At 42.7% G+C, this 16,327-nt stretch overlaps 2 annotated features.

The window, feature by feature from the left end:
* Positions 2,660–3,176: an enhancer, noted in NCBI's record as "NANOG hESC enhancer chr6:14832080-14832596 (GRCh37/hg19 assembly coordinates)". NCBI's record gives its function as "activates a minimal SCP1, AML or CMV promoter by ChIP-STARR-seq in naive and primed H9 embryonic stem cells {active_cell/tissue: H9 hESC(naive and primed)}" and the evidence as "EXISTENCE:reporter gene assay evidence [ECO:0000049][PMID:30033119]".
* Positions 15,349–15,643: a silencer, noted in NCBI's record as "tiled region #9180; K562 Repressive non-DNase unmatched - State 7:EnhWF". NCBI's record gives its function as "represses a minimal TATA promoter and a strong SV40 promoter by Sharpr-MPRA in K562 cells {active_cell/tissue: K562}" and the evidence as "EXISTENCE:reporter gene assay evidence [ECO:0000049][PMID:27701403]".

Here is a 16,327-nt window from a genome sequence, read left to right on the forward strand (position 1 = left end):
CTCTTATGCCCCAGGTATAAAGAGTTGCTCCCCACTTTGTGAATTTCATTCATATTCCTATCTCATTTGCTTGAATTTTTTTTTTTACTACTGTTTGATTCAAGAGTCAGAACTTTGTCTTATTTTTTCTTTATACCCACCACATAGCATAATGAAAGCTCCATAAAGTTATCCATAGGTAAAGGAATGAAAAGACAGAGCAAATTTCTAATTCTGGTAACTAACCAGAGACGAAGATAAAACAAAACAAAACAAAACAAAAATATGGAGGGGAGGGGGATAATTCAGGAGGAAAAAAAAATGCACATGTCCCAAAACTTTAAGCTAAGAAGGAAAGAGGCTGGGTGCATTGGCTCACGCCTGTAATCCCAGCACTTTGGGAGGCTGAGGCAGGAGGATCACCTGAGGTCAGGAGTTCAAGACCAGCCTGGCCAACATGGTGAAACCCTGTCTCTAGTAAAAATACAAAAATTAGCTGGGTGTAGTGGCGGGTACCTGTAATCCCAGCTACTGGGAAGGCTGAGGCAGGAGAATCACTTGAACCTGGGAGGCGGAGGCTGCAGTGACCCGAGATCACGCCATTGCACTCCATCCTGGGCAACAAGAGTGAAACTCTATCTCAAAAAAATAAAATAATATAAAATAAAATAAGAAGGAAAGAGAGTGTGGTAATGGACAAGCCATCCAGCAATATTCTCCACTGAACTGGAACCGTGAGACTGCTAGCACTGGGCTGGGAAATTAGGACAGAAAAGAAATTGAAATAAGGAGACAAAGCACTTATCTCTTAAGGTAACAAAATTTCCCGCTGCTAGAAAATAGAGACTCATAAGACCATCAGGAACCAGAAACCATGCAAATAGCCACGGTCTCATCTAGCTCCCAAATGCTTTGTTCCTAATGCCAAGATGTCTAAAATTATAACTAACTGCCTACCAGTTGATTTCTCATCAAACCCACCTGGTGAAGAAACCCGAAATAATGGAAGAAGAATCAACCAACAGCTCCTCCTTTTCCTCTCTAAAGAAAAGAACTTGCAGTGTTCAGGTAATACTCACAATTGAGAGAGGAGGAAATGAATTATTCTGACCAGACGTCAGGATTCAAAGTAATAAACTACAGACTCAAGGCGGGGGGCTGCATTCCAAGCAGCATACTGGTCAACCCTTTCTTCCCCTAAAGAACATACCCACTAGCCAGCATGCCTTCTTCCTCTTTATTCAATTGTCTTTCCACCTGCATAAAAATGTACACATTTTGAGCCTCCAGGGTAGGGAAAGTGTCTTCCATTTCTTTCATAGGTAGGAAAATCACACACCAAGGGGACAAGAGATAGGGTAAACTCCCCTATCTCTTAATAAAAGTTAGCATCATGGTAGGTGTTTCAGGCTGCATGACCAAAGACATGATGTGTACTGGGGAAGACAAGCAGTTTAGGGTTGTCATTCTGAGGGTAAAGCTGAAAAGAATGACAGGAATCGGATGAGAAGACCACAGGGGCCACACAAGAGGCTGTGTCTTCACTCTAAGATATGGGAGCCATTAAGAAGGATCAGCAGGAGGTCATGAGGCCTTATCTCAGAGGATGACTCCTTTGGGGGTAGATTTGGGGGCCATGGTAAGAGGACCAGCAAGGGCTGAGGAGACCCTGAGCTGCGTGGGCCCTGCAGCAGAAGTGAGGAGGAGAGAGGCAAATGTGTTGTGTGACAGGCACTGTCTAAGCCTGCAGGGGGGACAAAGATGAATCAGGCAGTTTCTTCCTTTAGGCTCTAGGGATGGTCAGTGTATTAGTCCATTTTCACATTGTTAGAGGGTAACTTATAAAGAAAAAGAGGTTTAATGACTCCCATTTCCACATGGCTGGGGGACCTCACAATCATGGCAGAAGACCAAGGAAGAGCAGAGGGACTTCTTACATGCCGGTGAACAAGAAGAGGATGTGTGCAGGGAAACACCTCTCTATAAATCCATCAGATTTTGTGAGACTTACTCTCTATCACGAGAACAGCAGCACGGGAAAGACCTGCCCCCATGATCCAATTACCTCCCACTGGGTCCCTCCCACGACACATGGGAACTGTGGGAGCTACAATTGGAGATGAGATTTGGGTGGGGACACAGCCAAACCACATCAGACAGACTGTGAGTTGCCTGTAGATCCAAGTGCCAGCATCACTGATATGATCTTGGTTGACTCCGAGGGCAGACTCTCCTTGTAGATAAAGGTGGCACTTTCTCCTCCTTAAGGAAATCAATGTTCCCATGTCAGCCATGTTGGGCCACAGAGAGTGAGTGGGCTTGGAGGGCAGGACCATCGTGGAGCCCACTGAAGGAGCATGGGGAGTTCTCCATGCATATGCAGAGAAGCAGGGAGAGGAAACGTGGAAGTCTGCTGAAAGCTGGGCAGGGAACTGAAGCTGGGTTCAGGGGCTGTTAGCCCTGACAGAACCCACTGCTGGGGTGAAAAAAACCCAAGTGAGTGTATGACCTGGAAAATTCTGTGATAGAGGGAAAGAGAGATCAACAGCGTGGCAGTAACAGAGCTGTTTCCTGTGTCAGGTGTGACAGGATCCTACCGGGATGAGTGTGGGGAACAAGTTAGCACTCATCAGGGATACCCAGAAACTATAGAAGAAACCTTAAAGACGGACTGAATTTCTTCCCATTTGGACATCATGGGGCTCTCAGAGTGACTGTGGTTTGAACATTACCAAAAAATGTGAACTTATTTTCATCCCTAAACTGGCAAAGTAGGGTATTCCAGCTCCCCTAGATTTTATCCGTGTAAATGTTCTGTGTTCTAAGGACAGACTCTACTAATACACATGAGTAAATGTTTTTTGTTTGTGGAGTGAGAGGGAGCAAGATTAACCTGAACTCAGAGAAATATTTCCAACTGGGAGCCCCAGCAGAGGCTCTTTGTTCACTCTGACCCTGAGATCAACAAAACAGTCTCTGCTCAAGCGACAATTCCCACATTCAAATTGCCAGAGAAAACTAAACTCAGAAGCTAAGAGCTCCACTTGATTCACTTGAGCGTATTAAAAATCCCTCCTCCCCCACTCGATTTCTCGTGGCTTTATTATATACGATCAAGTGAGCTTGAATGAAACTGTCTCCAAGTCCTCATTTTTATTTCATACTGACAATATTATCTTTATCAAGCTCATATTTCAAGAAGCTTTATTCTACTCTGACTTTCCTGAACCAGGGGAAATTATCTTGTTCCTTCCCTTGGGTTTGAAAGAAAACCTTTCCATAACTAATGTTTATCAGCGGCACAATTTCTTTTGCAAAAAATTGAAACCTTCTTGACATAAAAAGGAAAAGAATACCAAGACTGAGATGATAGAAAGACACCAAGAAAAGCTTAAGGGGAGTCCACGTTTCCAGAAGCTCTGCCCTCTCTATTTCTTCCTGGGAATACTGACCAATGGATCTGGAGAATAGGCCCCTGGCTGGATTCCTATAGGGCCAGGTTTTAACTGTTTCACTTCTGGAACATGGGAAGATCTCTGATAAATGGCAGGGCAGCCTGAGCAGGAAGGGGTGGGTGGAGAGGCAGGTTCTCCAATAAAACAGAGCCAGTAGGATATATACATATACACAGAGAGAAACAGAGACAGAGATTGTGATTTATTTATTTATTTATTTTTGGAGACAGGGTCTCACTCTGTCACCCAGGCTGGAGTGCAGTGGCACAGTCATAGCTCACTGCAGCCTCGATCTCCTGGACTCAAGCAATTCTCCCACCTCAGCCTCCCAAATAGCTGAAACTACAGGTGTGCACTCCCACACTTGGTTAATTCTTTTCATTCTTTTGGTAGAGACAGGGTCTTGCCGTGTTGGCCAGGCTGGTCTTACACTCTTGGCCTCAAGTGATTCTCCCACCTCGGCCTCCCAAAGTGCTGGGATTACAGGTGTGAGCCACCATGCCTGGCTAGAGATTGAGATTTTAAGGAGCTGGCTCATGCTAGTATACAGACTAGCTAGTCCGAAATCCATAGGGCAGACCAGCAGGCTAGAAACTCTTGCAAGATTTGCTGCAGTCTTGAGGCAGAATTCCTTCTTCTCTGGGAAACCTCATTTTTTGCCCTTAATGCCTTCAACAATTGCATGAAACCCACCAGCATTATCAAGGGTAATCTCCTTTACATAAAGTCAACTGGTAGGAGATACTAACCACATCTATAAAACACCTTTACAGCAACAACTAGATGAGTCTTGACTAAATAACTGGATACGATAGCCTAGCTAGGTTGACACATAAAACTGTCACAATGAGGGAGTAGGAAAGAGAGGGCAGGCTCACTCAGGGGATTTGATGCAGCTGCTATTCGCCACCCCATATAGGATTATTTTAATATTTTAAATAGTAGCCCTGGTCTTCTCTCTAAATGGGGTTTCTATAAAAGCTTGTCACCCTTTGTAATTATAGCTACAATTTCCTTTCCTGGTTCTGTAGTGCAGCCTAACAAGAGTTACTGGTGGGAGGAATCAGGACAGAAAGTGGGCACCCAAAACGGGTCTCCAGGAACAACTCCTAAGAGCAGCTGCCCTGCAGTGACGTCAGTGGACCATTCCAAAAGTCTTTGGTCTTCATGGCAAAATCCTGCCCCCAGAATCCATACTCACTCCCAAGTCATTTGGGGGAAACTGCCACCATCACCCTAAGAGGAAAAGCCAATTTACTATCGTCATAGGAACAACAGCTATTTATGGAGAATCTGCCAAGCAATATCTCATGAAACCATCACAGTAAAATTTAAAAGGTAACTTACATCCCTTCTAAGATGAAAAAACTGAAGCTTCCAAAGATCAAGTAGTTAGTCCATCACCATCCACACAGTAAACAGGAGAGCTGGAACTTAAACCCAGCTCTCAGCAATGTTCAAATCAAAATCCATGCTTTTTGCATAAAGTTATGGAAGCCAATCGATGTGATGACTGGAAGTTGGTGTGGGGATTTGGGTTCCTCTAATCTAGGTAGATGGTAAAATATGCCCAATGTTAAAGACAGGCTGTTTCAACCAGAGTAGAATAGTTTTCACTGTTGGTAGTTCATCTCATAACTAAACCTCACACATTATTGGTGGAGTTAATTCTCCAGAAGATCTATGAATTCTTGGTTTTATTTTGGTCCTGCCAAGCTCATAGGTTTCCTTTCAGTTTCATGAGTCTAAGGCTGAAGTTTATAATAGAATGCAAAATATGGTTGACACTTGCTATTAACAATGCGGTACATAACTAAAAATTTATCAGTATGTTTTGCTGCTGTATTATTCTGAATGGCAAGCATCCTCCTTGCCCCCAAAGCAATAATACTTTGATTGTGAACCATTTCCCTTACCAAATATACTCCTTCCCACAGAGAACTGCTACCATGGAAATCTATGCAATAGACTCATTTTTGTGGCATTGCATATCAAACTTGACAACATAATTTTGACATTTGGTAAAAATACATCTTTGTCTACATCTTCATAAGAAGACTTGCTTAAGAGTATTTTTCTCAAATGTTCCTACAGTACATATTTCATGCTGACATCAAAAATGGGGGGGAAAAGGTTGTCTTATTTTTGGTTTTGCTTTATGTGTTTTGGACACCCAAAGAAAAAGTTTTCACACAGTTAAAATGGTACCTAAAGTCAAGTTGTGATGAAAAACTGATTTGCAAGTCCACTTCGTATTCATAATGATCAACTCAGTAATAATGACCCATCTCCCTCTTGCAATATCCCTAACCATGTATGTTCCTTGGCATACTCCCTGAAGCCAAACCCCTTTGGAAAGATTATTCGGCATTGGATTCATGGGAAACAAACTGGACTTATTTCACTCCAAGATATTGGAACCACACATAATAAAATAATGCCAAATTATGCTTGGAACTAGGATATGCATGGTTCCGATTTCTTGTGACAAAATAGTTCCAGATTACAACCGAAGTGTACAATGTGGAATAAATCCTTCCTTATTTTTAGATATTATAATAACTCTAGCATTGCATTAGTTGCAAAAAAAAATAGTTCTTAACTTTACACTGGGCTCTCACTGTATTACTATTTTTTAAAGGGTAAGATTTTGTATAAAAGAGTGTCATAGACACCATCCAAAGAGTGTCATAGACACCATCCAAAGGTGTTTATCTATTGAGGTCACAAAAAGGCCTTATTATGAAATGGTTTCACAGCTAATTCCAAAGCTTGAAAGCTAGGCAGTGTTTCTTAGTAGAGCTTCTCTGAATTCTTTTTAAACATCTATTGAACTTAGTTATTTTTGTTTTGTTTTGTTTTGTTTTGTTTTGCTTTGTTTTAAGAGAGGGTCTCTCTCTGTCACCCAGGCTGGAGTGCAGTGGTGTAATCATAGTTCACTGCAGCCTCGAACTCCTGGGCTCACGCAATCGTCCCATCTCAGCCTCCCAAGTAGCTAGGATTGCAAGCATTTGCCACCATGACCAGCTAATTTTTTATATATTTTTTTGTTGTTGAGATGGAGTTTCACTCTGTCACCCAGGCTGGAGTGCAGTAGCATGATCTCAGCTCACTGCAACCTCCACCTCCTGAGTTCAAGCAATTATCCTGCCTCAGCCTCCCGAGTAGCTGGGATTACAGGCATGCCCAGCTAATTTTTGTATTTTTAGTAGAGATGGGCTTTCACCATGTTGGCCAGGCTGGTCTCGAACTCCTGACCTCAAGTGATCCACCCACCTTGACCTCCCAAAGTGCTAGGATTACAGGCATGAGCCACCATCCTTGGACAATTTTTTTTTCCTTCGTAGAGAAATGTTAACAGCTTACTATTGACAAAATAATCTATCACTTTACTCTCTACCCAAATGGAAATTGCCTCAAGGTTACTTCTGTTTTAATCCCATATATGAAGAAAAATAGAGAGGGGAGACCTCCTTTCAGGCATGTAGGTGAACTACTAATGCCTCAGGAAAGTCCATTTCAATCTGTTATTTTTCAAAACGTCTATCATTGAAGGTATAGCTATGTTAGTTTCTATATCCTGATTCACTCTCTTGTATTCTTTGTCATTATTTTGAGCTCCAACAAAAGGCTAAATAGAAGTGATATGATATCCTCCATGTGTTTATGCCAAAATATTGGCAGAGAGGTTCCTTTGACTGGTACCTGTCTTAGGAGCGATGAGGGAGTACTCTAGCTTATAACACATCTTTCTGTTTATCAGCTCCTTGATCCATCCATCAATCCATCTTATTTTCTTGGTGGATTTCAAAATAAATTGCAGACTTACCTCTGAACATATCAGCATGCATAGCATCAACAGAATTCAATGCAACAAAGAATTTGAGCAGGGAGTGACATGATCAAATTCAGATGTGGGAAAGAACCCAATGCCAGTAGGGAAGATGACAGGCATGAGAAAGGCTTAGAGGCGGGGAACAGGTGGGGGGCCATTGCAAAGGGTTCAGAGAGAGAAGATGAGGGCCTGGACCAGGGCGAGGATGGAACAGGGAGAGAGAAAGGGACAAACAGATAGGAGAATTGACAGCTCTTAATAACTGATTAGACATGGCAGGGGCAGGATGAGGGAGGGAGAGGAATTCACAGTAACTTCCAAATTTCTACCTTGAACAACAGGTAAAATGTGAGGCTGTACATTTAGTTAGGAACTGACTTTAGGTAGTGAAACATATAGGGGGGAGGGTGTAAGATGAATTTTGGATATAATTTTGGGGTACTCATGAGACATCCAGATATAAACTATGGGATAGAGAGATCTCAAATAGAGATACACATTGGAGATTCAGCAGCATTTACAGGGCATAAAAAGTTTTTGTCTAGAGAGGGAGAGTTTGTGATCAGGGCCAAAAACAGCTTAAAGCAGTGCCTGGATTTAAAGGGCAGGTAGGGAAAAGGTACCGATAAAAGAACCTTGAGAAAAAGCAGTTGGTGAGGAAGGAGGAGAACAGGGAAGAATGGGGTCTTGGAAACAAAGGAAGGAAACAGTTTCAAGAACAGGAACTTGTCAACAGTACAAAATGCTGAGAAGGCAAGAGAGGGGTGGGATTGAAAGGAGTCTATAGGATTTGGCAACTTGGAGGTGGATGGTGACCCTGGTGGAAAACAGTTTTCCTGGAGCTGGGAAAATGGAAGCCAAATTTCAGTGGGTTGAGGATTGAATGACAGATGAGGTCATGGAGATAGCACATGAAGACTAATGGTTCTAGAAACCTGGCTATGAGAGGAAGGAGAGAGGTACAGTGTACATATTACAGGAGGATGCAGGGTCATGGACGAATTTGCCTTAAGAGTGGAGCACCTGGATTATACATAAATTAATACCTGTACTAATAAGTTGACACCTAAAATGCATTGCTTTATGTTGACAGTTTTCATTGTGTGGATGTGTGATCTCCCTGGTTAGACATGCACTTCTATAAACATATGGGTCATGTACTGACTGCACGCATGGTCATATAGAAAGTAAGAGCTTGAATGTGACGGAGATGTCTTACTACATCTTTACATCTTACAGCTGAAGAATCTAAAGCCAAAAAAGAGTGAGTAGCTCAACATCATCCAGAGTTAGTTAATAAAGATCCCCCCCAGCACCCTTCACAAAGCATTTTACAGTAAGGAGAAAGGTTTTGGTTTTCAACACAGTTGTATGAAAATTCCAGCCCTACCACTTCAAAGGTATCATTCCTTATCAGTAGATTTCCTTTGTGTGTAATGGGGTTATCTGGATAAAACAAAACCGATCTCCACTTTTACCACCAAATTGGGATTGATGTGTGAGTACAAAATTTTAGGGCAATGTAGTTTTCAATTTCTCTCACTTTTCTACTTTTGCTTCTTTCTGCCCTAGTTAATCGAAAAAGGGAGTTATTTGCATGTTGCTGGAGGGAGACTATTTCTAATTGTTCTGGCCTATTAATAGCAGATGTATAGCAAAGCTTCCAAAGAAACACATGCCTTCAGGACCTCACAGAGTTTCAAGAGTAGTATTCTATGGGTTCATTTTGGATTTCAGGTGATTAATGGATGTGGACGAAACCTTTAACCTTTTCAATTGTCTGCTCCTGCTTCTCCAGCTCCCTCTCCAAGTTCCTTTAATTAGCTAAACTTAAAGCCCTTTTGAATCACCTAATGTCACACAAAAGTACTTGCCCTAGGCAGAGAAAGAGAAGTAACCCAGTTTCGGGGCAACTGATTTATTACATGCAGGGAAACTTCTTGTTAGTTTTCCAAAAGTTATCTCTTCTCTTGTTATTTGGAAAGCACAGCAGTTTTCCACTTCATTCTCCACTGATGGAAAACAGATTTGTCTGACGCCTAGAAGAAGCTCCATTTGCACTGGCGTTTTATTTATTTATTTATTTTTTTTCTTGGTAGACCACTACAATCATTGGCTGTGCACACCTATATTGGACTTGGCTACTGCACCATACTGCACTTGCAAAAATGTTCTTTTCTAGACATGGCAAGAAAAGCCTCTATAAGCTGAACTAATACCATCTGCCTCTCCAAAATGCCTTAATTGTATTGGCAAAAGGAGCACTTCTTATTTTTTAAAGCCTACTGTAACTGGATTGTTAGAGCAGTACCATTAAAAGGATAATGACGGTGTTACCCTCAAATAGATTTTCTTAAAATAATTGCTTTTCCTTACTGAGTGCTGGCACGGCACTCGTGAAATTCTGATGGGGTCAGCGGGTTCTTTGATGTTGCCCACCAGAAGATTGTCTCTTTCCGATCCACTCTCTCTCCTTTTGTTTTTTCCTCATCTACACTCACGTTGGTTTTATTTAGCTACTGCAACTTGTCTTTGCACCTGAATCAAGCCAATTTTTTTTAATGATATAAACAGGTAGCTTTCTCATTGGGCCAGTGTTTGCTGCTTCTTTATTTTGTCTTGATGGAAATCTTTTTATTGTAGGAGTCAAACATTGACTATGAGAGTGTCACCATCTCAGAAATTGACAGGTTGACCATGAAATCACAGGTCTGCATATTCTGCTTCTTATCTTGGGTTATCCTAAGAAGTTGGCAATGACTGGCATGAATGGGGGTATCTGACCCCTGCTAGGAGGGAGTGGACCCCAGGCTCCTCAGGCTGCCTGCCAGGGCTGTTACTCTGGAGCTGGAGAGGGAAATGAGAAGCCTGGTTTGTATGAGGCTTGATTGAGGCTGTGGATATGAAGCAACAGGGAAGCGAAGCCCATGTCTCTGATAAAAGAAGACACTAGAAAGGGAGGTCTGAAACACTAAGCTAAAGGTGTCTGGCAGAGAACTGCAGAGAAGCAAGACAGAGAAAAGTAGAGAGCTTAAAGAGATTTCCGGAGACGAATGCATGCAGATAGAGAGGATTTCATAGCCACCCACTGCCCTTACTCTGGGCAAGGAGAAAGCTGTTTCAAGAGTCAATTTATACAGGAGAAAAATAGGAGTACATATTCATTGTTTTATTTTATGCCCAACTCAAACTGAGGCAGCCTATAAACTAACACAGAATAGACTTAATCTCTGTGCCAACACTGTAGCTCAGTAATGGTATACATACAGTCAGAAAGTGGAAAGCATTAGCTTAATTTTTTTGACGTCGGGCTTCAGTTTAGCTAATGCCATTGAATTGACAGACCACCTCTTCAAACCTGTCTAAAGTTATTAAACTAATGGTTTCTATAATGTAACATAAAGTTATTCCCTCCTTCTCTCCGTTTAGAATGATATTCTAAATACAGATGGAGTCTCTGAACACTTGGTTTCTCCCTAAGTGATGCATGGAGGACGGATGAAGGAAAATTGAAACACTTTTCTGCTATGTTACCTTTTCAACCCATTTGTTTACTTATCGACCACTTATGGGTTACAAAGAAAATACACCACGATTTATTGCTTGGAAAGATGATGCAGAGAATTTGAGAGAGAATCACTAATAAATTGATGGAGAAGTGCTTTGTTAATATAGAGTGCTATTGAAATGCATAATGAGGAATGGCCTCTCCAAGGACACTCGCCCAAGAAGAGGCTAGAACTCTGGATGCTCACTCTTCATCTAACAGATCCTGGCATACAAAGCCTGAATACAGCATGTCTTTAACCCCACTTAGGTATTGCCAGAAGGAGTCTCCACTTCTTTCTACCCAGTAGTCTGCATTCAGTTAAGAAAGTACAACAAGAAACAGGGCAGTGCTTCTCAAGGTTTCGTGTACAACAAATCACCTATAATCTTGTTAAAAAGAGAGTTGTGGGCCGGACGCGGTGGCTCACGCCTGTAATCCCAGCACTTTGGGAGGCCGAGGCAGGAGGATCACGAGGTCAGGAAATCGAGACCATCCTGGCTAACACGGTGAAACCCCGTCTCTACTAAAAATACAAAAAAAAAAAAAATTAGCCGGCGTGGTGGCGGGCGCCTGTAGTCCCAGCTACTTTGGAGGCTGAGGCAGGAGAATGGTGTGAACCTGGGAGGCGGAGCTTGCAGTGAGCAGAGATTGCGCCACTGCACTCCAGCCTGGGCGACAGACCGAGACTCCGTCTCAGAAAAAAAAAAAAAAAAAAAAAAAAGAGTTGTGATTCAGTAAGTCTGGGGTGGGGCCTAAGATGTTGCATTACTGATAAGCTTTCAGGTGATGCCGGTGCTGCTGGTCTAAAATTTTGCTCCAACCTAGAGCATATGGAGAGATGCCTAGATTCCTGCAGTAAGCAGGATTTCAATATGCTGGCAAAGACCATCTCTCAAGGAAGTTAACGTTGTGTTTTTGGTTTGGGGTTTTGTTTGTTTTGTTTTGTTTTGTTCTGTTTTTAGTGTTTAAGACACAAATCAAGAGCTTCCAGTTCGGGGTGCCTAACAGGCAACAGGAGATGTAGAATTGGACTTGAGACAAGAGAGTAGGGCTGTGGATGGTTTGGGGAACCATCAACAAAATGTGTAGATAATTCCATAGATAGACTCATAGACAAATAGATGAAATATATGGAAGAGACCTCAGACTTCTCAGTCCAGGGCACATTCTCATGTTGGTTCATGCAAAACTCCATTTTTGATTTTTAAAAAGAAATTCTTTAACTTATTTATTCATTCATTCCCTTTTATCTCCATCCTCCCCACTACAAGCCATTTTCTAATGTGTTTGATGTGTATCCTTCTATTTCGTTAATTTTTCTTATATATAATATTTCATGTGCACTTTTTAATTTTTTATTCAGGTATAACATGGATACAGTAAAGCAAAATAACCTTAAGTATGCAGCTTGTTGAATTTACATGTATGTATACACCTATGTAAATAGCACTCAAACCATGAGCTAGAATATTTTCTGCAGCTCTGTGTTTTTTTGTTTTTGTTTTCTTGAGGAGGAGTTTTGCTTTTGTTGCTCAGGCTGGAGTGCAATGGTGCGATCTTGGCTCACTGCAACCTCCGCTTCCCAAGTTCAAGCAATTCTCCTGCCTCAGCCTCCCGAGTAGCTGGGACTACAGGCACCTGCCACCACGTCTAGGTAATTTTTGTATTTTTTTTTTTCTAGTAGAGATGGGGTTTCATCATGTTGGCCTGGCTGGTCTTGAGATGGAGTTTGGCTCTGTTGCCCAGGCTGAAGTGCAGTGGTGCAATCTAGGCTCACTGCAACCTCTCTGCCTCCTGGGTCCAAGTGATTCTCCTGCCTCAGCCTCCCGAGTAGCTGGCATTACAGGCATGTGTCATCACACCCAGCTAATTTTTCTATTTTTAGTAGAGATGAGGTTTCACCATGTTGGCCAAGCTGTTCTCAAACTCTTGACCTCAAGCAATCCGCCCACCTTGCCCTCCCAAAGTGCTAGGATTACAGGCGTGAGCCACCACACCCACACCCGACCCGCTGTGCATGTTTTAAATTTACGTAAGTGACATTGTGCAAAAGAGAGCATTATGTTTCTTACCTCATCCCACGAAACAATGTTTTCGAGGTTGATGTGTGCTGCTGTGTTTACATGCTATTCATTCCAGTTGCTTCCGATTGCTTCATGGTGTCCCTATTATACATCTGCCACATTTCATTTGACATTCCTCAGTGAAGGATGTTCAAATTGCTTCCAACTCTCTTTTCCACAAATAACACTGGAATGAACATCCTCATTCATGTTCTTTTATAGACCCATAGGAGATTTTTTTTTCTGTGATTTATAAGTAGGAAAGTGAGTACTGAGTCATAGAGTGTACACATACTTATTTTAACTAAGAATTGCCAGATTGCCTTCCAGAAAGGCTCTACCCATCTGCACTCACAAATACTTTATTCTGTAGTCAAATTTATGTTTCCTTTTAATTTGCACTGTGTTAAGCTGGACTCAAGGCAACTAGGTTTTATTAGGGTTACATTTAGATTGTGCCTATGAATGGCAATTCATTCAACCTCTTAAAAACTCTTTACTGAGCACCCACGATACACTAGGTACTCTTCTGGGTGCTGGAAATATAGCTGTGAAGAAGATAAAATCTCAACCCACATAGAATTTATTTTCCAGTAATTAAAACCATCCAGTGAATAAGATCACTTAGGAAGAGAGAATAGAGTGAGTAGGAAACAAAACCAAGGATGGAATTCCAAAAAAAAAAAAGATTAAAGGGTTGAGAAACAATGGACATGGTGGCTCTTGCCTGTAATCCCAACACGTTGGGAGGCCGAGACAGGAGGATCACTTGAGCACAGGAGTTCAAGACCAGCCTGGGCAACACAGTGAGACTTTGACAAAAAATGCAAAAAAGGCCAGGCATGGTGGCTCATGCCTGTAATCCCAGCACTTTGGGAGGCCGAGGCAGGCAGATCACCTGAAGTCAGGAGTCCGAGACCAGCCTGGCCAACATGATGAAACCCCGTCTCTACTAAAAATACAAAAAATTAGCTGGGTGTGGTGGCAGGCATCTGTAATCCCAGCTACTTGGGAGGCTGAGGCAGGACAATCGCTTGAACCCAGAAGGTGGAGGTTGCACTAAGCCAAGATTGCACTACTGCACTCCAGCCTGGGTAACAAAAGCAAAACTCCATCCAAAAAAAAAAAAAAAATTAGCAAGGCATGGTGGCATGTACCTTGTGGTCCTAGCTACTCAGGAGACTGAGGTGGGAGGATGGATTGAGCCCAGGAGGTAGAGGCTGCAGTGAGCCATGATCGTGCCCCTGCACTCCAGGCTGAGTGACAGAGTGGGACCCTGTCAAAAAAGAAAGAAAGAAAAGAAAAGGAAAGAAAGGAAAAGAAGGAAGGGATAGAGAGAAAAGGAGCCCTGTAGGGAGTCAAAAATATTGTTCTGAGAAGTATCAAGAAAACCAAGAAAAAGTGATGACAGAGGAACCAAAAAAGAGAGTTTCAAGTAACGTACACTCTTCAAGAGGTAATATAACTAAGAAGCTGTTGGTCACCAAAGAGGCTGTGGCACAGCCATTGGTGGAGAATGGGAGAATAATGGAGTAGTACACAGCCTGTGGTCCTCAGCCATGTTCACTCTGCCATGGTAGCAATGTCCCTAGACCAAGCCCATGCCCTCCACTTTTCTGAAAGCAATGGGACCCTCTTCTTTTCCCTTGGTCTGCATTCTTTTCTGAGAAAGTCCATCTTCACTTAGTGAACTGACCTGGCTCTTTCATGCCTCTAGACCAGAATATATCTTCTGAATTTTGGTGTAAATACCACTTTGTTTAGCAAAACTTTTTGCTGATTATTCCAAAGAGTGGGACTCTGGTCCTAACCAAAAATTTGGCCAATCAGTGTGAACATTACACAATTCATCTTTAGAATTAAAGAAGTTGGCCAGACACGGTGGCTCACGCCTGTAATCCCAGCACTTTGGGAGGCCGAGGCGGGTGGATCACGAGGTCAGGAGATCGAGACCATCCTGGCTAACATGGTGAAACCCCGTCTCTACTAAAAAATACAAAAAATTAGCCGGGCATGGTGGCACGCGCCTGTAGTCCCAGCTACTCGGGAGGCTGAGGCAGTAGAATGGTGTGAACCCGGGAGGCGGAGCTTGCAGTGAGCCGAGATCGTGCCACTGCACTCCAGCCTGGGCGAGAACGAGACTCCGCCTCAAAAAAAAAAAAAAAAAAAAATAGAATTAAGGAAGGTGAAAGAATGGGGAATGAATAGATTTTTTTTTCTAGTCTGACAGTTGGAAAGACAGCTTCAGATGTTCAGATGTCGTATTATTGCTGCTACGCAATGACAGCAACTTTACCTTGGTCCCATTGCTTTCCCTCACCCCTTTTATCACCGTTTATCATGTACGGTTGTGTTTTTTTTTTTTTTTTCCCGCAAAATGTCTGTTCCATGTATTCAATCTTTCATAGTCTCACAATTCTTCAACACTGACTCAGGCGTGATCCTTATTACCCATGCTTGAGCCAGAGCTATAGCCTCAGGACAGGCTCTGCCTCCCCCGCCGATCCCAAGCCTCCCCCACCGGCTGCCCGCGCCCCCTTCGCAGAAGCATCAGTACTCTCCCACACCTCCCGGTGAATCCTGCATGTCAGATTCACACACCTTCACAACCTGACCCCACGCAGCCTGGGCCTTCAATTTCCCATTACTTCCCAACCACAATCCCGTGGTCCCGCTACACGGCCCCTCCCCACGCTCGGTGCCCTTTCTGCCCTTCATTCCTCTTTCCTGCCACGTAGCACGTGAGCGGCGCCTCCTCAGTCTCCACAGAGTTCATCCAGAGTCCCATAGCCTTGACTCCCACTGCCGTCTAAATTCATTCAACAGCAGTTTTCAGACTTTCTGGTTTGGGGACCCTTTTACATACTTAAAACCTATTGAGGACCTCAAAGGGCTTTCATTTGGTGAATTGTATCTGTCAGTTTTACCGTAATGTAAATTAAACTGATGAAGTTGTTAAAATATTTATTACATTGCTGAAAAACAAAAATAAAAACAAAAACAAAAACACTACATGTTATTTTAAAAACACACACAGATTTTGGCCGGGCGCAGTGGCTCACTCCTGTAATCCCAGCACTTTGGGAGGCCGAGGTGGGTGAATCACTTGAGGTCTGGAGTTTGAGACCACCCTGGCCAACATGGCGAAACCCCGCCTCTACTAAAAATACAAAAATTAGCCAGGCGTGGTGGTGGGTGCCTGTAATCCCAGCTTCTCGGGAGGCTGAGGCACGAGAATTGCTTGAACCCGGGAGGCAGAGGTTGCAGTGAGCTGAGATCGCACCACTGTACTCCAGCCTGGCTGATAGAGTGAGACTTGGTCTCAACAAAACAAAACAAAACAAAACAAAAATACATTTTATGAAAAATAACCATATCTTCCAAATGAAAAAAAAATAGCAACAACAGTGGTAATGCTTTATATTTTTGCAAATAAAGCTCTTTA

The sequence above is a fragment of the Homo sapiens genome, chromosome 6 (genome assembly GCF_000001405.40).
Source record: "Homo sapiens chromosome 6, GRCh38.p14 Primary Assembly".
Lineage (NCBI taxonomy): Eukaryota > Metazoa > Chordata > Mammalia > Primates > Hominidae > Homo > Homo sapiens.